Source organism: Homo sapiens, chromosome 15, assembly GCF_000001405.40.
Source record: "Homo sapiens chromosome 15, GRCh38.p14 Primary Assembly".
Classification (NCBI taxonomy): Eukaryota; Metazoa; Chordata; class Mammalia; order Primates; family Hominidae; genus Homo; species Homo sapiens.
The window spans coordinates 41,596,465-41,621,764 of NC_000015.10; the positions used below are offsets into that span (position 1 = coordinate 41,596,465).

General features: G+C 45.9%; 1 protein-coding gene, 1 long non-coding RNA gene and 1 pseudogene across 26 annotated transcripts in view, besides 1 other annotated feature; 2 read left to right on the forward strand and 1 right to left on the reverse strand.

Moving 5' to 3' along the window:
• LOC105370791 (uncharacterized) lies at positions 13,013-24,991 on the reverse strand. 2 transcript variants are annotated; one of them, NR_188232.1, is made up of 4 exons: positions 24,625-24,991; positions 16,071-16,270; positions 13,680-13,736; positions 13,013-13,488 (listed from the first exon to the last, which is right to left on the reverse strand). It is a non-coding gene; the product is annotated as an uncharacterized LOC105370791 (long non-coding RNA). The 2 variants fall into 2 exon arrangements; NR_188233.1 differs by having other exon boundaries at positions 24,603-24,991.
• LOC124903614 (uncharacterized) lies at positions 18,768-18,844 on the forward strand (annotated as a pseudogene).
• Positions 24,760-25,300, forward strand: part of MGA (MAX dimerization protein MGA) — a 148,717-nt gene continuing 148,176 nt past the window's right edge. For 20 of the 24 annotated variants that reach the window (XM_005254246.4, XM_047432276.1, XM_047432286.1 and 17 more), the window contains exon 1: positions 24,760-24,834. The gene's annotated coding sequence lies outside the window, so the exon portion shown is untranslated. Of the gene's footprint in view, positions 25,126-25,300 lie in introns of all 24 variants that reach the window. The other 4 variants (XM_017022029.3, XM_047432300.1, XM_047432302.1 and 1 more) reach the window with 1 other exon arrangement.
• Positions 24,972-25,031: a silencer, noted in NCBI's record as "silent region_6367". NCBI's record gives its function as "represses an Ori minimal core promoter by ATAC-STARR-seq in GM12878 lymphoblastoid cells {active_cell/tissue: GM12878}" and the evidence as "EXISTENCE:reporter gene assay evidence [ECO:0000049][PMID:35858748]".

The window sequence follows — 25,300 nt, forward strand, 5'->3', positions numbered from 1 at the left end:
CCGGCGTTTTTTTTTGTTTGTTTGCTTGTTTTTTTGAGACGGAGTCTCAAGCTATCACCCAGGCTGGAGTGCAGTGGCATGATCTCGGCTCACTACAATCTCTACCTCCCAGGTTCAAGTGATCCTCCTTCCTCAGCCTCCCGAGTAGCTAGGACTACAAGCATGTGCCACCATGCCTGGCTAAGTTTTGTATTAGTAGAGACAGGGTTTCATCATGTTGGCCAGGCTGGTCTCAAACTCTTGACCTTGTGATCCACCCTCCTCAGCCTCCCAAAGTGCTGGGACCAGTGGCACTCATATTTTAAATAACATGGAATTCCTGGGGTGGTGCTAAAGTGTTTTTTTTTTTTTTAATAAAGATGAGGGGTCAGGTTTGGACATAGCCATAGGATAAGAGTTAAAACAAACTTGGCTTGTTGGCATTGATTTATGGACAACGCTTTCCCAGATCACACAAAAGCCTCAGGAAGACTGACACCAACTGTGAGTTTCTTCTCTTCTCATCCTTTCTGTGTCACCTTCCGTTCTGGGAAGACCAGGCTCCATTAGCTACTTTTCTTCCTGGATGCTCAAGAACTCCTCTGTCATGCTTGGGACCCAAGTCCTTCCCATTATACGTTGAGCTGGGTTCTGTGTCCCAGAGTTAGAGACTGTGTTATGCTAGGTCTTATCTGAATCTCCCATAAGTGGGTTTCCTTGGCTTCGGGCTTCTGATCCTACAGAAGCTAGCCACCTCCTTTGCTCTTTGCTGTGGTTGCCAGAAGAGGAGTTCCTTTACTGGTCCCTATCTGTTATCTTTTCGGCTTGATTCACCCTGCCTGTAGCCACTCCATCCAGTGGATCCTAGTCCTGTTTGTGTTTTTTTTTTAAGACTCTAAATGTTCTTTAGGTTCCTTCTTAACTCTGTGCTTCTAGGATTGTTCTGCCTCTATCATGTCTCCTGTCAAATTCTTCTTAGAGTAAGTTTTTTAACGAAGTCAGATTTCCCTACTGAATTATTCTAACCTAGCATCTATCTTTTTTTTTTTTTTTTTTTTTTGAGATGGAGTCTCACTCTGTCACCCAGGCTGGAGTGCAGTGGTGCAGTCTTGGCTCACTGCAACCTCTACCTCCCAGGTTCAAGCAATTCTCCTGCTTCAGCCTCCTGAGTAGCTGGGACTACAGGTAAGCACCACTAGGCCTGGTTAATTTTTCTATTTTTTGTACAGATGTGGTTTTGCCATGTTGGCCAGGGTGGCCTTGGCCTCTCAAAGTGCTGGGATTACAGGTGTGAGCCATCGGGCCTGGCCTAACTTAACATCTATCTTATCTTCTCTAGAGGGTCCTGCTGTCAGGCTGGTCACTGTTTTGTCCGTGCCCTGACCATGTGGCTTGTCTTTAGGGAGCCCAGATGCTTATACTCTCATTGTAAGTTGGGTAAGAAAACTATTCTCCCTCTTGGTATTTTAGATAATCTTCCCCTTAGCTGCTCTGGCAATTCCTCTGCTCTAATCCCAAGACTGGCAACTAACATGGCTCCTGTCTGGCTCATGGCCATTCACTGCCGTAATCCCTTTTCTTAGCCACAAATATCTACTCATTATGGACTGGGCAAGGGGAAAACAGACTCCACATGGTCACACTGTTATCTTTTTTTTTTTTTGAGATGGAGTTTCACTCTTGTTGCCCAGGCTGGAGTGCAATGGCACGATCTTGGCTCACTGCAACCTCCGCCCCCGGGTTCAAGCGATTCTCCTGCCTCAGCCCCCCGAGTAGCTAGGATTACAGGCATGCACCACCACACCCAACTAATTTTGTATTTTTAGTAGAGACAGGGTTTCTCCATGTTTGCCAGGTTGGTCTCAAACTCCTGACCTCAGGTGATCCACCCGCCTCGGCCTCCCAAAGTGCTGGGATTACAAGCATGAGCCACCACACCTGGCCACACTGTGTTTTTTTTTTTTTTTTTTTGAGATGGAGTCTCGCTCTATTGCCCAGGCTGGAGTGCAGTGGCGTGATCTCGGCTCACTGCAAAGTCCACCTCCCAGGTTCATGCCATTCTCCTGCCTCAGCCTCCTGAGTAGCTGGGACTACAGGCGCCCAACACCGCGCCCGGCAAATTTTTTGTATTTTTAGTAGAGACAGGGTTTCACCGTGTTAGCCAGGATGGTCTCGATCTCCCGACCTCGTGATCCACCTGCCTCGGCCTCCCCAAGTGCTGGGATTACAGGCGTGAGCCACCGCGCCTGGCCACACACTGTTACCTTTTACAGTGCTTTAAAGCAAATGTTAAACCAGAATGTAATCAGCTCCCAAGGTCAGAAGGGGCATCTTTCTCCATAAGAAGATGTGTGCATGTGCTTACCTCCATTGCACTGGACTTAGGACAGCATTTTGGCACTGTGCAAGAGTACAAATGTGTGACGTACTCAGCCCAGAACTGTCCCGTTTGCTGGGGAATATAGGAGCTTTCCCTGAACCATATTTCTCCTTTTGGGCGGGTTGTCCTCTTCCTGCCTCCAGCCAAGAGGTGGTCTATGTCTCTCCGAGTCTTCATTCCCAGTATGGATATTCCTCCCATCAGCATTATCTCAAGGAGCTCCTGACTATGCCCAGTGATCCTTGGGTGAGGCCACACTGTACCCCTGTAAGTTTAGGTCACATTTCAGCTATTAGAGGGTCCCAGCTTCAGCTCTATTCCAGAGTCCATAAACAGCAATTCAGCATTTCTAGGGGCTTAAAAGCAATTCTGTTTTTGTATCCTTGGACCACAGATTTTTCTAGGGCCATCTGGACTCTCTGAGTTGCTGCCAATAGGACAGCAGGGAAAGTCCAGACCAGTCCAGGTTAACCGGCCCCAACATATCAATGTGGTTTTCTATGATGTCTTCCACTCCCCAGGTCAGCCAACCAAATCCTGTTCCACTGGGGTTCAGAGTCCCTAAAATGGAACTGTTTGGTTCTTCTAGGAGCACAGGAAGAAAACAGTGAGGAGGAGGAGTGGGGAGAAAAAGACTCATGCGAAAAAGGGAGAGGAAGTGAGTGATGCTGAGGGAAGAGAAAAAAGCAAATGGCAACAGCAGCAGCAGAAGGAGAGTGAGGGTGGGAGGGAAAGGCAGAAATACAGAGTTCTACTCTTGATAATGTACTATTATTTTTGAGATAGGGTCTCGCTATGTCACCCAAGCTGGAGGGCAATGGCATGATCATGGCTCACTGCAACCGTGACCTCCTGGGCTGAAGCAATCCTCCCTTCTCAGCCTCCCAAGTAGCTAGGACTACAGGTGTGTGCCATTAGATCCGGCTAATTTTTAAAATTTTTTGTAGAGATGAGGTCTTGTTATGTTGCCCAGGCTGGTCTCGAACTCCTGACCTCAAGTGATGCTTTCATCTCAGCCTCCCAAAGTGCTGGGATTACAGGCATGAGCCACCATGCCCAGCCTTCTCTCTCTCTCTCTCTCTCTCTCTCTCTCTCTCTCTCTCTCTCTCTCTCTCTCTCTCTCTCTCTCTCTGTGTGTGTGTGTGTGTGTGTGTGAGAGAGAGAGAGAGAGAAGAGGTAGAGGTTTATTGAAATATGAACATTTGGCCAGGCTCAGTGGCTTGCATCTGTAATCCCAGCACTTTGGGAGGCCAAGGTGGGTGGATCGCTTGAGCCCAGGAGTTTGAGACCAGCCTGGGCAACATGGCGAAACCCTGTCTCTACTAAAAATGTACAAAAAATTAGCTGGGTGTGGTGGTGTGTTCCTATAGTCCCAGCTCCTTGGAGGCTGAGGTGGGAGTATGGCTTGAGCCTGGGAGGTGGAAATTGCAGTGAGCTGAGACCACGTTACTGCATTCCAGCCTGGGCAACAGAGTGAGACCCTATCTCAAACAAACAAATACAAAACCAAAAAAAAAAAAAAAAAAAAAGAGAGAGACAGAAAGAAATATAAACATTCAAGGAAATGTAAGATGGAAACAGCCATAACATATAGAGACACTTGCTGCAAGAGGATGCCTGAGGCATTTATTCACTGCCTAGGCTGCCCATGTGCTGTCACATTTTTCCTGGTTTGAATACATATAAGATGGGAAGAGGGGAGGGGACAGAGTTGCTCTGGCTGACTGCCTACCATGTGGCCTTCAGGAATGCACCTTCAGGAAAGCTCCACTTGGGCTAGGGCCCCACTCCTGGGCACCTGCTGGCACCCTCCCCTCTTGGGCTCTGGGTAAGACCTTGTGTTGTCCTTGAGGGCAGTGGGGGTTCTCACTCATCACTCAGAGGATGAGGCCAGGCAAGCTGCCTGGGGAAAGGGAGAGGATCCAATGGCCAGAAAGACACAGTGTGCTGTCCTTGCATCCTCTGGGTGGGAAGAGTCCATCTTTTGTGACCACAGCTCTGAGAAACACACTGGCCAAATGTCTGAGACACCTTTAAGCAGGCTCAGTGCCAGCCAGTTGGCCCCCTCACTGGCACCAGATCCCAGATATCCTTCTCTCCCACAGCCTGCACTTGAGGTACTTGTTTTGTGTTCAAGCTTTTTATTTCTCTTTCCTTTCCTAGACAGGACTGAATGCTAGCCACACTGTCACACTGCCTCCCATCACACATAGTGTCTCCTGCCACCACAGTCCAAGGATGTTGCAGTGGTGGTGTTCTTCTGCACTCTTCAGGGCTTACTTAGCAGAGGTAAGCCTCATCCAAGAATCATCTTTCCTTTACAACACAGGAGCAACCTACTGCATGCCAGGGTCCAAGAGGGGAGACAGGGCCTGGTGCGGTGGCTCATGCCTGTAATCCCAGCACTTTGGGAGGCCGAGGCAGGCAGATCACGAGGTCAGCAGTTCGAGACCAGCCTGACCAACATGGTGAAACCTCGTCTCTACTAAAAATACAAAAATTAGCCAGGCGTGATGGCGGGTGCCTATAGTCCCAGCTACTCAGGAGGCTGAGGCAGGAGAATTGCTTGAACCTGGGAGGTGGAGGTTGCATTGAGCGGATATCGCACCACTGCACTCCAGCCTGGGCAACAAAGCGAGGTTCCATCTCAAAAAAAAAAAAAAAAAAAAAAAGAAGGGAGACAGACCTTTTTCAGCATCTTCATTCCTTGGGGCAGCTTGACCTCCAGCAAGACTGGTAAGGACCATGGTGCAAGGAGCATGGCCTGCCCATGACCTGAACTGGAAATCCAGCCTATGTGATGGTATTAGCCTGAGTTCCTGGTTAACATTTTATAGTGACCCATCAAATATGCATAAAAAAGTAAGGAAGCCTGGGCATGGTGGCTCATGCCTGTAATCCCAGCACTTTGGGAGGCTGAGGCAGGCGGATCATGAAGTCAAGAGATCGAGCCCATCCTGGCCAACATGGTGAAACCCTGTCTCTACTAAAAATACAAAAATTAGCTGGGTGTGGTTGGGGGAGCCTGTAATCCCAGATGCTCGGAGGCTGAGGGAGGATAATCGCTTGAACCCAGGAGGCGGAGGTTGCAGTGAGCCTGGGGGACAGAGTGAGACTCCATCTCAAAAAAAAAAAAAAGAAAAAAAAAAAAAAGGAAGGAAGGAAGCTTGCAGTTTTGATTAATAATAAAGGCTGGTGTTTCCATGGTCCCCATCCCTGGGAAGACCTGTGGGCTACCTTCCCAGGTTTCTTTTGCCTCTGCAACCTGGTCGAGGGGTTAAGAGTTGGGGAGGTGAGTAGAACTGAGTGGCTTTGCTCCACTTTTTTCCCTTAATCCTGGCAAAGGGTCCCATACATCATAGCTGTTAAGATGCTCACAGCTTCTCTGAGGGCAGAGTTCACTTCATTGCTTTCTTTCTTGGGGTTTCACTCCTTTCATTCTGCTTTTTATCCTTTCCTGGCCTGGTTGACTCTGGATATATCATAGATATTTTCTGAATCTTCTTCTGTATTTGTTAAATAGGGTTAAGACCCTTCTCTGGCCTTTTCACTAGAATACAACAAAGATTAAATCAGCTTTCATTGATAAGAGAGCTTTGTATAATGCAAATTATAAGTATCATTTGTGATGGCCATAATCTAGGATTAAATTGCATTCCCTAACACAAAAACTTTCCATTCCTCAGTATGATAGTCAGAGAGGATGCTATTAGTATGTTTTCAGAAATTCCTTTTTTTTGAGACAGAGTTTCGCTCCATGCTGGAGTGCAGTGGAGTGATCTCAGCCCACTGCAACCTCCGCTTGCCGGGTTCAAGTGATTCTCCTGTCTCAGCCTCCAGAGTAGCTGGGATTACAGGCGTGCCCCACCATGCCTGGCTAATTTTTGTATTTTTAGTAGAGATGGGGTTTCACCATGTTGGCCAGGGTGGTCTCAAACTCCTGACCTCAGGCGATCCAACCACCTCACCCTCCTAAAGTGCTGGAATTACAGGTGTGAGCCACTGCGCCCAGCCTGTTTTCAGAACTTCTTTATCTCCTAGGCCAGCCAGAAACATTAGTGAGAACTTGGAAAACAACTGCTGCATGTCTGGGGTTGACATAACGTCTGTTCCCTCAGTGGGTCTTATCTTCTGCCCTGTGAACAGTGATCCACCTCATGTATTCACAATTCACAGTCTTGCTCTTCCTTTCATTCAGGTAGGCAGGTAGTCTCAGGCCAAACTTCCCAAAGGTTATGAATTCAGGTTCTGGATTCCCATCTAGAATCAGTCTACTTGGGTCCGGAACATTTGGAGCCCATGTAAATACTGAGTGTGTGTGTGGTGTGTGTGTGTGTCTGTGTAGGGAGGATGAACTTGAAAATGCTATGGAAATAAATAATGGAGTAGCAAGGAGGACGTTCTGTCTGATTACAGTAAAATAATTCTAAATTAATAGGAGACGGGAATAGGAAAGGTGACTAAGAGAAAAGCTAATTTCTGATAGAAACTTAGGGAGCAAAACCTATGTAGCTAAGCAGCGGCTAAGAGGGAATGAGACATGATATAAAACCTGAAGAAGAGGCGTCCTGGTTTTAGCTTAGCCCAAGGGCAAAAGTAATAGGAGAATAAAACAGACTTCTACAATCTGTAGATTTCTTCTTGTTCTGCTAGAAAAGACAGAGTTGGTGGGGGACAGTGGGGTGTTTAGGACTATATGGAACCTTCTTGAAACACATACAGATAGCTTAAGGACAGACAGCATGACCACAAGTCTTCAATCTGTCATTAACTTGCACGTGTGGGTGTGTGACATCTACCTCTGACTGGAAACAGCAATTAGAAGGCGGCTTTCGTCTCTTAGAAGAGTGCCTGTTCCTATGTGAGGAGCACCCAGGACTTCAGCTGGATGACAGTGGGAAGCTGTTGATGTAGTGGCTTTGACAGCTTCAACTCATGTCTGCTTTGGTGTCAGACACTCCTGATCTTTCCCGAGCTTTCACGCAGTACAGTAGGAAAAACTGTAGGCTTCTCTTCTCAGTAAAGGACTAGATATTGCCACTCATCACTCTTCTTAAGTCTATCCACTAAGAGTGAAGAAGCATGTCAGAGCTTACCCATCGGTCCTGAACTGACCTCCTCTGGAGGTCTCTCAGTTGGCCACAGTTTAGCTCTGTGTCCTCATCACTATGAGGAATTAGTCTTCCCTTCGCATCCACCAGGAGGAGGTAGAGGGCATGCCCGTTTGGGTGATGCCAGGACCGGCGCGCTTCACAGGGGTTTGTAAGCACCCCCTCAACCTCCCTTCCTTTTCCTGGCAGCAAATAGCAGAGGTTAGTGAGCATCAGCCTTGTCTCCCTGAGTGGGGAGGAGGGAAATGGGGGAAGGGAGACAGCATATCAAAATGCACTTCCAAAATGAAAATGAAGACAAAAAAGAAGAAAAAATGATTTCTGTGGCACATGGTGCTACTGAGGGAGAGGTGATGACAGCCTCCTCCCATTTCAGGAACAGTTCCCAGCGTTGTCTGTAGGCGGATTCACATGACACATTCTTAAACCCAATTCCATTCTGTGTTGCGTTTGCTCCTTGCTCACATCTCAGGAACAATGTATCTCTACATCTTTGTATCTAAGTTTGATTCTGAATGGATTGTCTAGCTGAATATCCCGGCTGCCCCGCTTGTAATGAATTTGTGCCAGTACTTAGCCTTTTGAGTCATGAAACCCCATCAACCCAGCTCTCTGCATCTGCACATGACCTGGAATGCCTGGAGAGTTACTAAGAAGTTGGAAGTTCTTCACGATGTCTCGATGTGAAAAAATACAAATGCATATTGCTGGAGGAAGTAATACCAATGATGCAAATTTGCCTGGAAACTATTCTGAACCCAGCTGTCCTTCCTGGAAAATGAAATTTTGGTTGCGGCATTTTTTGATTGATGTCTCTACATGAGGAGGTTTTTGGCTTTTTAGTGTTGCTGCTTTTCTGTTCTCACTCCTCTAAGAATCTTTGCCAAAATACCACTGACATTTGAGGAAGAGAATAGAGACAGTTTGGTTTCTTACTTGTAAATTCCTCTGTTTCCTTGGTGATGTAAATAATTATGTAATATATAAAAAGTTTTTAGCAAATTCAAATTTTGGTTTGAAAAAAACAGGTTTTGTTACCTGTGGTAAAGTCTAGAGGAACAATCTCAGAGAGCTAGAAACTGTCTGTTCCTCCTTAACTCTTTTTACTATTATTATTTTTAAATTTTTAGTAGAGTCAGGGTTTCACCATGTTGGCCAAGCTGGTCTGGAACTCCTGACCTCAAGTGATCTGCCCGCCTCGGCTTCCTATAGTGCTGAGATTACAGGCGTGAGCCACCGCGCCCAGCCGTGTTCCTCTTTAACTGTTTTTAAATTAGAAAATCTAGCCAGGCGCAGTGGCTCACGTCTGTAATCCCAACACTTTGGGAGGCCAAGGCTGGCAGATCACCTGAAATCAGGAGTTCGATACCAGCCTGGCCAACATGGTGAAACCCTGTCTCTACTAAAAATACAAAAAATTAGCTGGGCATGGTGGCAGGTGCCTGTAATTCCAGCTACTCAGGAGGCTGAGGCAGGAGAATCGCTTGAACCTGAGAGGCAGAGGTTGCAGTGAGCCAAGATTTCACCATTGCACTCCAGCCTGGGCAACAAAAACAAAACTCTGTCTCAAAAAAAAAAAAAAAAGAAAAAGAAAGATAAGAAAAAGAAAATCTCTCCTGAAACATAGGGGCTACTGAGACCCCAAATCTAATGCCATTTTAAACATGCACTTTTAAAAGTTTCAGTAAGTCTGCCCAGGTGTGCGGCTGGTGTACAGCCCTGTCAGAAGACAGCCTAGAATAATTCTCTGCCACCTTCAGCTTTATTAGGAGAATCCTGTCCAAAGGGCAGACCCAGAGTCCAGGAATGTGAAAGGAAGGGCAGAATCACCTCAAACAGCCCGAAAGGACTGAGGAATTCCACACATCTGGTTTGTGGAATCTTCAAGGGGAGAGGTTCTATTAGCAGAAGAAAATAGGAGACTGATGGTCTGGAAGAGGGCTCACTCTATTTGCACCCTCAGAGGCATACTTTTCACTCTGGCTATTCTAAACTTTTATATTCACTCAGGTTCCCAATTTCCGCTCTTCCTTTTCCATCGGTTACTCTTTTACTCTTGGCAAATCGCCTTATCTCCTTTCTATCTCGTGGGTAGAAATATGAGCACTACCTTTTTTTTTTCTTTTTGAGACAGGGTCTCACTCTATTAACCCAGTCTGGAGTGCAGTGGTACAATCACGGCTCACTGCAGCCTCCACCTCCCAGTCTCAATCGATCCTCCCATCTCAGCCTTCTGAGTAGCTGGGACTACAGGCACACATCACTATGCCCGGCTAATTATTATCATTATTTTTTTTGTAGATATGAGGTCTCACCATGTTGCCCAGTCTGGTCTCTAACTCCTAGGCTCAACTGATCCTCCCACCTTGGCCTTCCAAAGTGCTGGGATTACAGGTGTGAGTCACCATGCCTGGCTGAGTACTACCATTTATTAGCTGTTTGACCTTGTTAAAGTCACCTCACTTCTTGGTGACTCTGTTTCCATAACTGTAAAATGGGGATAACAATAGTATATACTTTAGGAGGTTGTAAGGATTAAGTGAGTTAATACATTACAAATTATTTAGGCTAGTAAATGCTAGGGCTTATGATTATTACTGAGAAGACAGAAATCAATGACATGAACTCCATTATACAAATTCCTCTCCACCTAAAAAATACCTGTATCATTACCCACCACTTCTTCTCTTTCTACTTCAGAGCAAATGACTGTCTTATTTTCTTTTTTCTTTCTTTTTTTTTTTTGAGAAGGAGTCTCACTCTGTCAGCCAGGCTGGAGTGCAGTGGTGCGATCTTGGCTCACTGCAACCTCCGCCTCCCTGGGTTCAAGTGATTCTTCTGCCTCAGCCTCCCAAGTAGCTGGGACTATAGGCGCCCACCACAACGCCTGGCTAACTTTTGTATTTTTAGTAGAGACAGGATTTTGCCATGTTGGCCAGGCTGGTCTCGAACCCCTGACCTCAGGTGATCCACCCGCCTCGGCCTCCCAAAGTGCTAGGATTATAGGCATGAGCCACTGAGCCCAGCCAACTGTCATTTCCTAAATTGGCGCTTTCCACCTGTGTCTTGATTCTATCTTCTCCTGTCTCCTTAAGGGAACTTATTGCATGATTTATTTTCTCCTTCACATTTTAAATTGGTTCCTTTGTCCTGTCTCCTTGTTTTCATCTCACACGCATTCAGGTCTCTCCCATTTGGAAAAGGCCTCTATATGACCTCACTCTCTTTAAGCTACTGTCCCATTTTTTCCTCCTCCTTTTACTGCCAAATACTGTGTGCCTCCATGTCTTCATGACTCATTCTCTCATTATTCCTCTGCCATCTGGCTCTTTCCTGCAACACCCCACTCTCACATAGCTGTGCCTATGGTCATCCAGCTCTAAATTCAAAGAACTTAAAAAAATGTTTAAGAGATGTGGTCTTGCTTTATTGCCCAGGCTGGAGTACAGTGGCTATTGACAGCCACAATTACAGCTCACTGCAGCCTCCAACTCCTGGGCTCAAGCAATCCTCCTGCCTCAGTCTCCCCAGTAGCTGGGACTATAGATGCACATCACTGCACATGGCTCCAAAGGACTTTTCTTGATTTCTGTTCTCCTTAGCCTCTTTGCTGTGATCAATATTGCTGACCATCATCTGCTATGAGAAATCCTCTCCTCTCTTGGCCTGTATGCAAGTCTGCTGTGCTGCTGCTTCTCCTCTCCTGTGGCCTCTTTGTCTAATGCCTCTAGAGGCTCCATTTCTTTCTTTCCACTCCTCAGCTGTGGGAATGGAGACAGGTTTGATGGCCAACCTTTTGATTTCTTTCTTTCTTTTTTTGAGATGGAGTCTTGCTGTGTTGCCCAGGCTGGAGTGCAGTGGCATGATCTTGGCTCACTGCAACCTCCACCTCCTGGGTTCAAGCAATTCACCTGTCTCAGCCTCCTGAGCAGCTGGGGTTACAGGCACACACCACCATGTCCAGCTAATTTTTGTATTCTTAGTAGAGATGAGGTTTCACCATGTTGGCCAGGCTGGTCTCGGACTCTTGACCTCATGATCCGCCCGCCTTGGCCTCCCAAAGTGCTGGGATTACAGGCATGAGCCACCACTCCTGGCCCTGATTTATTTCTATACTCATACTCTTTGATCTTTTTCTCACGCCTTATTATATCTCTAAATGTCTCCTGAACACTCATCCTTCATCTTTCTTTTTTTTTCTTTTAAGACAGAGTCGCTCTGTTGCCCAGCCTGGAGTGCAGTGGTGTGATCTCAGCTCACTGCAACCTCCGCCTCCTGAGTTCAAGTGTCTCCTGCCTCAGCCTCCCAAGTAGCTGGGATTACAGGCACCTGCCACCACCTCGTCTAATTTTTTTTTTTTTTTGAGATAAGAGTCTTGCTTTGTTGCCCAGGCTGGAGTGCAGTGGCGTGAACTCAGCTCACCACAACCTCTGCCTCCTGGGCTCAAGAGATTCTCTTGCCTCAGCCTCCCAAGTACCTGGGACTACAGGCATGCACCACTGCGTCCAGCTAGTTTTTGTATTTTTAGTAGAGCCAGGGTTTCCCCATGTTGGCCAGGCTGGTCTTGAACTCCTGACTTTAGGTGATCTGCCTGCCTTGGCCTCTCAAATTGCTAGGATTATAGGCGTGAGCCACCGTGCCTGGCCTTGTCCTTCATCATTCTTTGTTCTCACTTCCTCAGCTTCATCATACATCATGCTTGCTCCCACTTGTTTTGGCCACACTAGCCTTTTTTTTTGTTTGTTTTCTTTTCTTTTCTTTTTTTTTTTTTTTTTTTTGAGACAGAGTCTCGCTTTTGTCGCCCAGGCTGGTGGGCAGTGGTGCGATCTTGGCTCACTGCAATCTCTGCCTCCTGGGTTCAAGTAATTATCCTGCCTCAGCTTGCTGAGTAGCTGGGATTACAGGTGCCTGCCACCACACCGGCTAATTTTTGTACTTTTAGTAGAGATGGGGTTTTGCCATGTTGGCCAGGCTGGTCTCAAACTTCTTACCTCAAGTGATCCACCTACCTTGGCCTCCCAAAGTGTTGGGATTACAGGTGTGAGCCACCACACCTGGCCCACACTGGCCTTCTTTTAGTTTACTGAAGGTGCTGTGGCATGTTTTTTTTTTTTTCCTGGTTATTGTTAACTTGCATTTATCTTTATCTCTAAAAATTGAAATATAATTCGCTTACCACACAATTTACCCCTTTAAAGTATGCAATTCAGTGGATTTTAGTATGTTCACAAAGTTGTGCAACTGTTACCACTATCTCATTCCAGAGCATTTTCATTGCCTCAAAGAGAAACTCCATACCCAAGAGCAGACACCCCTTCTTCTTCTCTGCTCCCCACCACCCCCTGGCACTCACTAATCTACTTTCTGTCTCTATGCTGTTGGCTTTGGAACATGCTGTTCCTTCTGCCTAGAACTTTCCCCATCTTGTCTCCTAGTCAACTCTTGCTCTTACCTTCAGCTCTCACTGCCAGCTTCCTCAAGCGGGTCAGTTCTCTTTATGCTTCCATATGAATATGTACCACTTTGTAGCATTTATCACAAATTGTATTTTAATATTTATTTATGGAATTCTTTGATTTATGTCTGTCATCCCAATAAGAGACATGAGGGCAAAAACTATATATATATTTTGGGGGGCATTCATAAATGAATAAAATTTGTCATCTCTGTCTATTACACAGCTTCACTTGAATGTAATAGTATGCCACCTAACACAGCTAAGACAATATAAATTGTTTTTCTCTGAAAACCGATTCCTCCTTCAGTCTCCCCGATTTGATGATGCTTCTTCATTCTCCAGGGCACACAGGCTTCGTTTCTTGGAGACATTTGACTCCTTTCCTCTGTCCTATCTCCCACATTCAGTGCTCTTCAAATTCTTCAGTCCTTTGGATGTTTGTACTCCAGTCTTTCACGTAGTGTCCTTAGTGCTCAGTTAACATCTAGTGTAACTTTTGGAAGTATCTGCAGAGAGGGAAATGGCTGCAGCCACGAGGATAGGTGAGCCTTCAAGGACTGCTACAGGAGTGAAAGAGAAACAGAAAAAAAAAAGGAAATGGCAGAGGATGGCGACCTAGGACACAGCCATACAACAGAGGGCTGGAGAATACTTAGCAGTAAAGTAACGAGAGAAGCAAAAGGAGACCCTGACTAATGTGCTGTAATCCATTCACCATTTACCGAGCATCTGTTACTTGCCAGGTACTTACATTATGGTGAGACGAACATGAATCAGAAGCTGTCTCTTTGCTGAAGGAAGTCAGGGTCTAGTGAAAGAGAGAAGCATGTAAACAAAAACTTACAATACAATACAATACAATGCTTGGTAAGTATTATAATAAAAGTATTCACACAGTGTTCTGCAAGCCAGAGGAGGTGGTGACTAAGATTCTCTCAGGACAGGGGTGGGTAGAGGTGGGTGTCACAGGATGCCTAGGACTTTTTAGCAGCCTGAGATTGCAAGGAGTGACATTCCAAGAAGACAGAACAACCTCAAGAAGCCGGGGCCCATGTGGAACTTCAAATCATTTTGTTTAGTTTTAGTGTAAAGAAGGGAATATTGGCTGGGCGCGGTGGCTCACGCCTGTAATCCCAGCACTTTGGGAGGCCCAGGTGGGTGGATCACGAGGTAAGGAGTTCAAAACCAGCCTGACCAAGATGGTGAAATCCTGTCTCTACTAAAAATACCAAAATTAGCTGGGCGTGGTGGCGGGCACCTGTACTCCCAGCCACTCGGGAGGCTGAGGCAGAGAATTGCTTGAACCTGGGAGGCAGAGTTTGCAGTGAGCCGAGTTCGCGCCACTGTACTCCAGCCTGGGAGACGAAGCGAGACTCTGTCTCAAAAAAAAAAAAAAAAAAAAAAAAAAAAGGAAATATCTTGGGAATTCAGGCTGGGGTGACTTTGTGTTTGTGAAGAGTCTCCTAAGAAGCTATGGAGGTTACTTTATATTCTCTAGCTAATGGAGAGTCACCAAAGGTTGGTTGGTTGATTTGTTTTTTTGAGACAGAGTCTCGCACTGTCGCCCCGGGCTGGAGTGCAAAGGCGCGATCTCGGCTCACTGCGACCTCCGCCTTCCCGGTTCACACGATTCTCCTGACTCAGGCTCCCGAGTAGCTGAGATTACAGGCGCACACCACCACACCCGGCTAATTTTTTGTATTTTTAGTAGAGACGGGGTTTCACTATGTTGACCAGATGTGTCTTGAATTCCTGACCTCGTGATCCGCTCGCCTCGGCCTCCCAAAGTGTTGGGATTACAGGCGTGAGCCACCGCGCCTGGCCTTTTTTTTTTTTGAGACGGAGTCTCGCTCTGTCCTCCAGGCTGGAGTGCAGTGGCGCGATCTCGGCTCACTGCCAGCTCCGCCTCCCGGGTTCACACCATTCTCCTGCCTTAGCCTCCGAGTAGCTGGGACTACAGGCGCCCGCCACCATGCCCGGCTAATTTTTTTGTATTTTTAGTAGACACGGGGTTTCACCGTGTTAGCCAGATGGTCTCAATCTCCTGACCTCATGATCCAACCGCCTCGCCTCCCAAAGTGCTGGGATTACAGGTGAGAGCAACCGCGCACGCCTGGCCTTTTTTAAAAAATCAACTTCATTAAGGCATAATTTACATACAATATAATATATAGATTTTAAGTATACAGTTCAGAGTTTTGATAAATGCATACATTTGTATAACCATTACCCTAATCAAGATAGATAACCTTTTTTTTTTTTGAGACAGGGTCTAACTGTGTTGCCCAGGCTGGGGTGCAGTGGTATGATCTCAGCTCACTGTAGCCTCAACCTCCTGGATTCAAGTTATCCTCCCACCTTAGCCTCCCCAGTAGCTGGGACTACAGGTGTGTGCCACCACACCCAGCTAATTTTATTTTTTGCAGAGATGAGGTCTCACTATGTCATCCAGTCTGGTCTCAGACCCCTGGGCTTATGTGATCCTCCAGCCTCAGCCTCCCAAAATGCTGGGATTACAGGTGTGAGCCACTGTGCCTAGCTGATACAGAACATTTCTGTCACCTCTAAGTCCTCTTGTGCCCCTTTGTCGTTGATTCTGCCTCTTCCCACAGGTAATATTGTTGTGATTTCTACTCCCGTATGTTTTGGTTATAGATTGTTGTATCTGTAGATCGTTTTGTCACCCCAAAACCCAGTGGCTTAAAAGAATAAAAATCATTGGCTGGGCGCGGTAGCTCATGCCTATGATCCCAGCACTTTGGGAGGCCGAGGTGGGTGGAACACGAGGTCAGGACTTCAAGACCAGCCTGGCCAACGTGGCGAAACCCTGTCTCTATTAAAAATACAAAAATTAGCTGGGCGTGGTGGCAGGCGCCTGTAATCCCAGCTACTCGGGAGGCTGAGGGAGGACAATCGTTTGAACCCAAGAGGTGGAGGTTGCAGTGAGCTGAGATCGCGCCATTGCACTCTAGCCTGGGCGGCGCGAGACTCTGTCTCAAAAAAAAAAAAAAAAAAAAAAGAATAAAAATCATTTATTTGCTCATGATTTTGCAATTTGGTCATGGTTTAGTGGAATCAATTTGTCTGCTTTGTGGGTCACCTGGGGTAGCTTGACTGGGGCTGGAGAATTCACTTCACTTACATGGCTGGAGAGTTGGGATAGGCTCTGGGCTGGGAGCTCAACTAGAACTGTCTTCCACGTGGCTGTTTGGGTTTCCTTACAACATGGTGGGTGAGTACCAAGAAGGAGAAAGTTGAAGCTACCAGTGCTTGTAAAGACCAGACGCAAAACTGGTACAACATCACTTCAGCTGTATTCTACTGACCAAAGCAGGCATGAGCCTAGAAGAAATTCAAGGGGATGGAAAAATAAATTCCACTTTTCAGTGGGGAGAGTGACAAAGATGGGCCATCTTTATTCCACCACATCATAGATTAATTTTGTCTGTTCTAGAATGTCCTACAGAATGGAATCATACACTGTGTTTTAATATATGTCTGGCTTTTTTTGCTTATTATGTGTTTTGAGATTCATCTATATTGTTTTTTCCTTTTTTTTTTTTTTAAATAGAGATGGCTGGGGGGTTTCACTATGTTGCCCAGGTTGGTCTTGAACTCCTGGGCTCAAGTGATACTTCCACCTCAGCCTCCCAAAGTGTTGGGATTACAGGCCTGAGCCACTGCACCCAGCCATTCAACTATATTGTTGATATATCAGCAGTTCATTCCTTTTTATTGACAAACTCCAGAACTCCATTCTTTTTTTTATTGCTGAATATAGTCCATTGATAATCAATTTGTTTACTTATTTATCTGTTGATGGACATTTGAGTTGTTTCTAGTTTTTGGTTATTATGAATAAAGCTGTTATAAAATTTTTAATACAATAGTTTTTTGTGTGCTGGGCACAGTGGCCCAGGCCTGTAATCCTAGCATTTTGGGAGGCCGAGGTGGGTGTATTGTTTGAGCTCAGGAGTTCCAGACCAGTCTGAGCAACATAGCAATACCTTGTCTCTACTAAAAATAAAAGAAATTTTAGCTGGATGTGGTGGCGCACACCTGTAGTCACAGCTACTTGGGAGGCTGAGGCTGGAGGATTGCTTGATCCTGGAGGTTGAGAGTGCAATGAGCTGTGATCACGCTACCGCATTCCAGCCTGGGCAACAGAGTGAGACTCTGTCTCAAAGAAAGATACAAAGTTTTTTGTGGATATATGTTTTCATTTCTCTTGAGTAAATACCTAGGAGTTAAATTGCTAGGTGATAGAGTAAGTATATGTTAAATTTATAAACAATTGTCAAGCTGTTATCCAAAGGGTTGTACCCTTTTCTTTTTTTTTTTTTTTGATGGAGTTTTGCTTTTCATCCAGGCTGGAATAAAGTGGCGTGATCTTGGCTCACTGCAAACTCTTTCCCCCGGGTGCAAGTGATTCTCCTGCCTCAGCCTCCTGAGTAGCTGGGATTATAGGCGCCTGCCATCACGCCTGGCTAATTTTTGTATTTTTTAGTAGAGACAAGGTTTTGCCATGTTGACCAGGCTGGTCTCGAACTCCTGACCTCTGGTGATCCACCCGCCTCACCCTCCCAAAGTGCTGGGATTACAGGTGTGAGTCACTGCGTCTGACCAATTGTACGATTTTTTAATAGAGATGGGCTTTCACTCTGTTGTCTAGGATGAAGTAAAGCAGTGCAATCCTACCTCACTGCAGCCTGAATCTCCTAGGCTCAAGAGATCCTTCGACTTCAGCCTCCCAAGTAGCTGGGATCACAGGTGCACACCACCACTCCTGGCTAATTTTTAAATTTTTTTGTAGAGATGGGGTCTCACTATGTTGCCTAGGCCGAATTGTAGCAGTTTATACTCCCAGCAGCAATGTATGAGAGTTTTAGTTGCTACAAATCCTAGCCAACACTTGTTATTGTCAGTCTTTTTATTATTTATTTATTTATTTTTGAGATGGAGTCTTGCTCTTGTTGCCCAGGCTGGAGTGCAATGGTGTAATCTTGGCTCACTGCAACCTCCGCCTCCTGGGTTCAAGTGATTCTCCTGCCTCAGCCTCTGTAGCTGGGATTATAGGTGCCCACCACCACACCTGGCTAACTTTTGTATTTTTAGTAGAGACGGGGTTTTACCATGTTGGCCAGGTTGGTCTCGACCTCCTGACCTCAGGTGATTTGTCCGCATTGGCCTCCCAAAGTGCTGGAATTATAGGCATGAGCCACCACGTCTGACCTTGTCAGTCTTGTTAATTTTAGACATTGTAGAGGATGTGAACTGGTATCTCTTTGTGGTTTTAATTTGTATTTCCCTAATAACTGGTGGTGTTATGCATGTTTCATATGTTTATTGACCACTTGTAGATTTTCTTTGGTAAAATGTCAGTTCGTTTACTCATTTAAAAAATATTGGCCATTGAACACTTTCTGTTTTATGGAATGAATTATTTCCTGATTCTAGAACTGCAACAGGCTGGGCATGGTGGCTCATGCCTGTAATCCCAGCACTTTGGGAGGCCGAAGCGGGCGGATCACCTGAGATCAGGAGTTCGAGACCAGCCTGACCAACATGGAGAAACCCTGTCTCTACTAAAAATATAAAATTAGCCTGGCGTGGTGGCACATGCCTGTAATCCCAGCTACTAGGGAGGCTGAAGCAGGAGAATCGCTTGAACCTCGGAAGTGGAGATTGCGGTGAGCTGAGATCGTGCCATTGCACTCCAGCCTGGGCAACAAGAACGAAATTCCGTCTCTCAAAAAAAAAAAAAACAAAACCAAAAAACTCAAAAAACAAAACTGCAATAAAGCCAATTGAATTCTTTAAAAAAATATATATATTGGCCAAGACTACACTTTCAGGAATCATTTCTATAGTTTGTTACTAGAGAAGTTTCTCTGAATACGTAGAGCAAAATATATAATAAGACAAAAAGGGGGCCAGGCGCAGTGACTCATGCCTGTAATCCCAGAACTTTGGGAGGCCGAGGCAGGTGGATCATCAGGTCAGGAGATCAAAACCATCCTGGCTAACATGGTGAAACCCTGTCTCTACTAAAAATACAAAAAATTAGCCAGGTGGAGTGGCACACGCCTGTAGTCCCAGCTACTCAGGAGGCTGAGGCAGGAGAATCTCTTGAACCCAGGAGGCAGAGGTTGCAGTGAGCTGAGATCGCACCACTGCACTCCAGCATGGGTGACAGAGCGAGACTCCATCTGAAAAAAAAAAAGAAAAAGAAAAAGAAAAAAAGGCCTGTGGGCTGGGTGTGGTGGCTCATGCCTATAATCTCAGAACTTTGGGAGGCAGAGACAGGTGGATCAACCTGAAGGCAGGAGTTCGAGACCAGCCTGACCAACAAGGTGAAACCCCTGTCTCTACTAAAAATACAAAAATTAGCCAGGCGTGGTAGCAGGAGCCTGTAATCCCAGCTACTAGGGAGGCTGAGGCAGGAGAATCGCTTGAATCTGGGAAGCAGAGGTTGCAGTAAGCCGAGATTGTGCCACTGCACTCCAGCCTGGGTGACAGAGCAAGAATCTGTCTGAAAAAAAGAAAAAAAAATGAGAAAAATATATTGGTCAGCCTGGGCAACATGGCCAAACCCTATCTCTACAAAAAATACAAAAAATTAGCCGGGGTGGTGCTGCATGCCTGTAGTCCCACTTACTCCCTAGTAAGTGGGAGGCTGAGGTGGGAGGATTACTTGAGCCCAGGAGGTTGAGGCTGCAGTGAGCTAAGCAGCTGTGATCTTGCAACTGCCCTCCAGCCTGGGTGACAGAGTGAAACCCTGTCTCCAAAAAAAAAAAAAAAATTGGATTTTTGTTTTATTATTATTACAGGGTTTTTTATTTATTTATTTTTTTTAAGACAGAGTCTCACTGTCGCCCAGGCTGGAGTGCAGTGGCACGATCTCAGATCATTGCAACCTCTGCCTCCCAGGTTTGAGTGATTCTCCTGCTCAGCCTCTCTTGTAACTGGGATTATAGGCTCCTGCCACCACGCCCGGCTAGTTTTTCTTGTTGTTGTTGTTGTTTTTTTTTTTTGTTTTAGAGGAAGTCTCACTCTTGTCCCCCAGGCTGGAGTGCAATGGCGCAATCTTGGCTCACTGCAACCTCCGCCTCCCGGGTTCAAGAGATTCTCCTGCCTCAGCCTCCAGAGTAGCTGGGATTACAGGTGCTTGCCAACATGCCCAGCTAATTTTTGTATTTTTAGTAGAGACCGGGTTTCACCAGGTTGGCCAGACTGGTCTTGAACTCCTGACCTCAGGAGATCCACCTGCCTCGGCCTCCCAAAGTGCTGGGATTATAGGCGTGAGCCACTGCACCTGGCCATTTTCCTGTATTTTTAGTAGAGAGGGGATTTCACCATGTTGGCCAGGCTGGTCTCGAACTCCTGACCTCAGGTGACCACCTGCCTCGGCCTCCCAAATTGCTGGGATTACAGGTGTGAGCCACCGCACCTGGCCTATTACAGGGTTCTTAATATATTGTGGATTTTTGTCCTTTGTTAGATATATGTATTGTGACTACATGTTAATGACTCAGAAGTCTCAATATTAAAATATTAATTATTCATGAATTGATCTATAGATCCAATGCCATTCCACTAAAAATCCTAATTTTCATAGAAGTTGATGAGCCAATTCTAAAATTTACATGAAAATGCAAGGGCCAAGTGCAGTGGCTCACGCCTGTAATCTCAGCAATTTAGAAGGTCAAGGCAGGAGGATTGCTTGAGCCTAGGAGTTTGAGACTAGCCTGGGCAACATGGTGAGACTCCTGTCTCCATAAAAAAACTTCAAAAATTAGCCAGGTGTGGTGGTGCATAACCCTAGCTACTTGGGAGGCTGAGGTGGAAGGATTCCTTCAGCCTGCAAGGTCCAGGCTGCAGTGAGCCATGTTCATGCCACTGCATTGCAGCCTGGAATAGCCAAAACAGTTTTGAAAAAGATAAGTTGAAGGACCTATACTACCGACCTCAAGACATATTATAGTTACAGAAATTAAGGCAGCATAGCAGTAGTAAATGGACAAATTAGGTCAGTTGAACAGAATACAACCTAGAAATAGACCCAAACATATATAGACAATTGATTTTTGACAAAGGTGTTATGATGGACCAGCCTCTAATGATGGACCCTAATCTATCAGGTCACACTCAATAGAGATTACGTGGCATTGAATATCATGATTCCTACCTCCAGGTATTCACATCCATATGTAATCTCTCTTGAGTGTGGGCTGATAGGTGTCAGAGGATGTCACTACTAGAGTTAGGTTTAAAAGAGACTATGGCTTACATTTTGGGGTAACTGTATCTCTCTTGGATTGTTTACTATCAGTAAAGCTAGCTGCCATGTTGTAAGGTAGGCCTGTGGAGAGGCCTATGGGGCAGGGAACCAAGGCCTGCCAAGAAGCACAAAGGAGCTTGGAAGCAGACTCCCCTCACGTTGAGTCAAGCCTTCAGTTGAGACTACAACCCTGGCCAACAGCTTGACTGGAACCTCTTGAGACACTCTGAGCCACTGGCAACCTGGTATGCTGTGCCCAGATTCCTTAACCACAAAAACAATGAGGTAATAAGTATTTGTTGTTTTAAGCTGCTAAATTTTAGAGGTAATTTGTTATACAGTAACAGACAACTAATACAGATGTCAAGGTACTTCAAAGAGGGAAAATAATGTTCAACAAACAGTGTTGGATCAACTTGACATCATTATGAAATAAATGAATCTCAACCCCTACCTCACACCATACACAGATTTTTTAATTTTTATTTATTTTATTTATTTATTTATTTATTTATTTATTTATTTATTTATTTATTTTGAGATGGAGTCTCGCTCTGTCGCCCAGGCTGGAGTGCAGTGGCACCATCTCAGCTCACTGCAAGGTCCGCCTCCCGGGTTCACACAGGTTTTGTAGCCTGGCAAAGTTACTGGAATGGTGGTGATACTACCCATGTAGAGGAATGCTGTAGTACTTGTGTGTAGTGGTGAAGGGACGGATAATTAGCTTGGCTTTGGAAATGCTGAGTTTCAGATGTCTATGGGAAGTTCTGCCTAAGCGAATCCCTCCCTTTTTTAAGGGTAAATGATGAAGCTAGTAGAGGTTCTATGGAACCACTGGAAGGAGGCCAGGAAGACAGCATCCGAAATATTGTTATATAAGTGAAGAGCGAGTTTTGAGGTGTCTTTACTTTGAGATATTCATATAAAAATTTTTAGTCTCCTTGAAGTTCAGGCACAGGTGCCCTCTCTAATCGTCTATCAGCATTATTTTACTGCAATAATGTCTACAGCTCAGCATTTTAACATGTTAAGAAAAAAAATGAAATGAAGGTGGGAGACAATGTAAATATATATACCAACAGATGGGCAGTAGTCACCAAGGATTCCAAAAAAGATCTGTGGTACACGAATCTGTTAGTGTTCCTCTAGCACTGTCTAGGGGAGAAACAGAATAGTGGAGAAAAAAGATTCAACAATGTGCTGTATTGCACAGAGTACAGGGTGCTAGTTTGAATGCAACCTTACCACTAACGAGCACTCACATTCATAGAGTTCATCATATTTATCAGGGATTATGACAGGTGTTCTAAATATTTTGATCTGAGAATCATTATGACAATCCAAAGACAATCCAGGCCGGGCGTGGTAGCTCATGCCTGTAATCCCAACTACTTGGGAAGCTGACAAAGGAGAATCCCTTGAACCCGGGAGTCGGAGGTTGCAGTGAGCTGTGACTGCGCCATTGCACTCCAGCCTGGGCAACCAGAGTGAAACTCCATCTCAAAACACACACACACACACACACACACACACACACACACACACAAGCCAGGTACAGTGGCTCACGCTTGTAATCCCAGCACTTTGGGAGGCCGAGGCGGGCGGATCATGAGGTCAGGAGTTCGAGACCAGCCTGGCCAACATGGTGAAACCCTGTCTCTACTAAAAATAAAAATTAGCCAGGCGACGTGGTGTGCGCCTGTAATCCCAGCTACTCTGGAGGCTGAGGCAGGAGAATTGTTTGAACCCAGGAGGCGGAGGTTGCAGTGAGACGAGATTGCACCATTGCACTCCAGCCTGGGCAAGAGAGTGAGACTCTGTCTAAAAAGCAAACAAACAAACAAAAAAACAAAAAAACAAAAAAACAAAGACAATCCAAACTGGCCTCAATTTGCAGTCAAAGGAACTGAAAATCAAAAAGTTCAAAAACGGGCAGGCGTGGTGGCTCACGCCAGTAATCCCAGCATTTTGGGAAGCCTAGGCAGGCAGATCACCTGAGGTCGGAAGTTCGAGACCATCCTGGCCAATATGGTGAATGAAACCCCATCTCTACTAAAAATACAAAAATTGCCAGGCATGGTAGCAGGCGCCTATAATCCCAGCTACTCAGGAGGATGAGACACCAGAATCGCCTGAACCCGGGAGATGGAGGTTGCAGTGAGCTGAGATCACGCCTTTGTAATCTAGCCTGGGCAACAGAGACTCGGTCTCAAAAAAAAAAAAAAAAAAAAAAAGTTCAAAAACCTGTTCACCACAATCAGAGTGCAGGAAGAAAAAGAGCTGCAAGTTGACATGGATCTGTCTGACTTCAAACCTTGGGTTCTTTCCACTATAGCCAATAGGTCCCAAACCCAGTTGTGCATAACAATTACCTGAAGAACGTGTTAAGATATATTTTTCCAGATTCCCACTCAAGACTGACTCAGAAAATGATACTACTAGTATAGCACTTTTCTCTGAGTTGTTGTAAGGATTATATATAATGAAGAATATTGGAATGTTTTATAAACTTCAAGTGTAACATCATATGCTTACAATTTAATGCTTTTTATTACGTATGATCATCTAATACCCTTTCTTTTGGTTTTCTAGTCAGGGAATAATTTTCTGATAATTAGGCTTATGGAGTACCTTGAAATTAGAAAAGGGTGCCCCAAACTATATTTTGGCTTGATAACCACATTATAAATGAATACATTTAATTTTTAATCTATAAATAAGAGCTCTTGAGCTTGACCATCGCTAGTCAAGTTCTTCAAGCTTAATCATCTCTTTAAGAATTGATGAAATCGTTCTAAAATCCGGCAAAGCTGAAGAATGGAGTTCAAAGCAGAAAAGGTGTGAATTGTTTTAAGTGGGGATTTCATTAGGTTTTGGCCTGAAGGGCAGTTTGTGAATATGTTACAAAGTTAATTGGTTCTGATGCATGACCACTTTTTCTGAGTTAGGAGACGGTGTTTTTTTTTTTTTCTCGTTTCCAATATACCATATTTCGTACGAGGTGGAACCAGCAACTGTGATAGACATGTCCCCGCCTCCTTTAAAACGCCTCTTGCTCTTACCACCCCTACTTTCCCCAACAGTAGCAATAAGTTTAGCAAGAAAGGTCTCATCTTCTATCCCAAGGGAAATTCTAAGTGCCATTTCCACCCTCAAGTGGGGCTCCTGGTAAGTTGCATTTAAATTAGCATTCTTTTTCACTGGCCAGGAAAGGGCTGCAGTTCATTTGCAGGCAAATACCCTTGCTGTTTTTTTTTTTTTTCCTGAATCTTTACAAAGTCACTCAGCAGGCACACACTAAACGCTTGCTCCGTGGAGAAAGGTTAAACGGTTTCCCCAAGACCACACAGATCAAACAAGTGGGAGAGGAGGGGCTGAAAGTGCCTGGTATACCTCGCCACACTCCCATAATTACCCAAACCGTCTCATTCCAAGCCCAAGGACCGGGCTTTCAAGGGGACACGAAAGGAACGCCCGGGAGGTGAGCGCCAGGAGATCGGGAGAGGTGCCTTTCCCGGCATGCTCTGCAGCACACCGAGGGGCGCCAGGCGTATCCCGGCGTGCATCGGGGAGCGCCCAAGGGCGATGGTTCCCGGCTCCTGGAGAGGCGTGCGAAGTTAAGCCGGTAGGTGCGAGCTTCCTTAGCTTTGAGCCTCTGGTTTCTCGTTTCCTCTTTATGGGTTTAAATCCATAACGGCAGAAAAGGATGGCCCTCTAACTACCCTCCCTCTCCGCGTGCGAACGACTCGGCGCCGCTTCGAGCTCGGTGCCAGGTGATTAGCGGGTAGGGGCGGGCTTGCGACCAGCACGTGACCCGAACTGGCAGCCAATGACTAGCCGGGTGGTCCAGCAGCGCGAGGATTCCGGGACCCGCGAGCGGAGCGGCGCGTGGGTCGGTTGCGGTCGGCCCCGGCAGGTATGCGCAGGCGCCTTGCTTGCCACGCGCTACGCCCGTCCCCACGCGCCTGGTGGCGTGTTCTTGGCGCGAAGTGTTAAGAGTCTGGGTGTTTTTGTGCGTTGGGGGGAAGGAGAGGGTGGCGGGGGCGGGGGGGCGCTGAGGCGTCACGTGGACGCCACAGCCAATCTCAGGC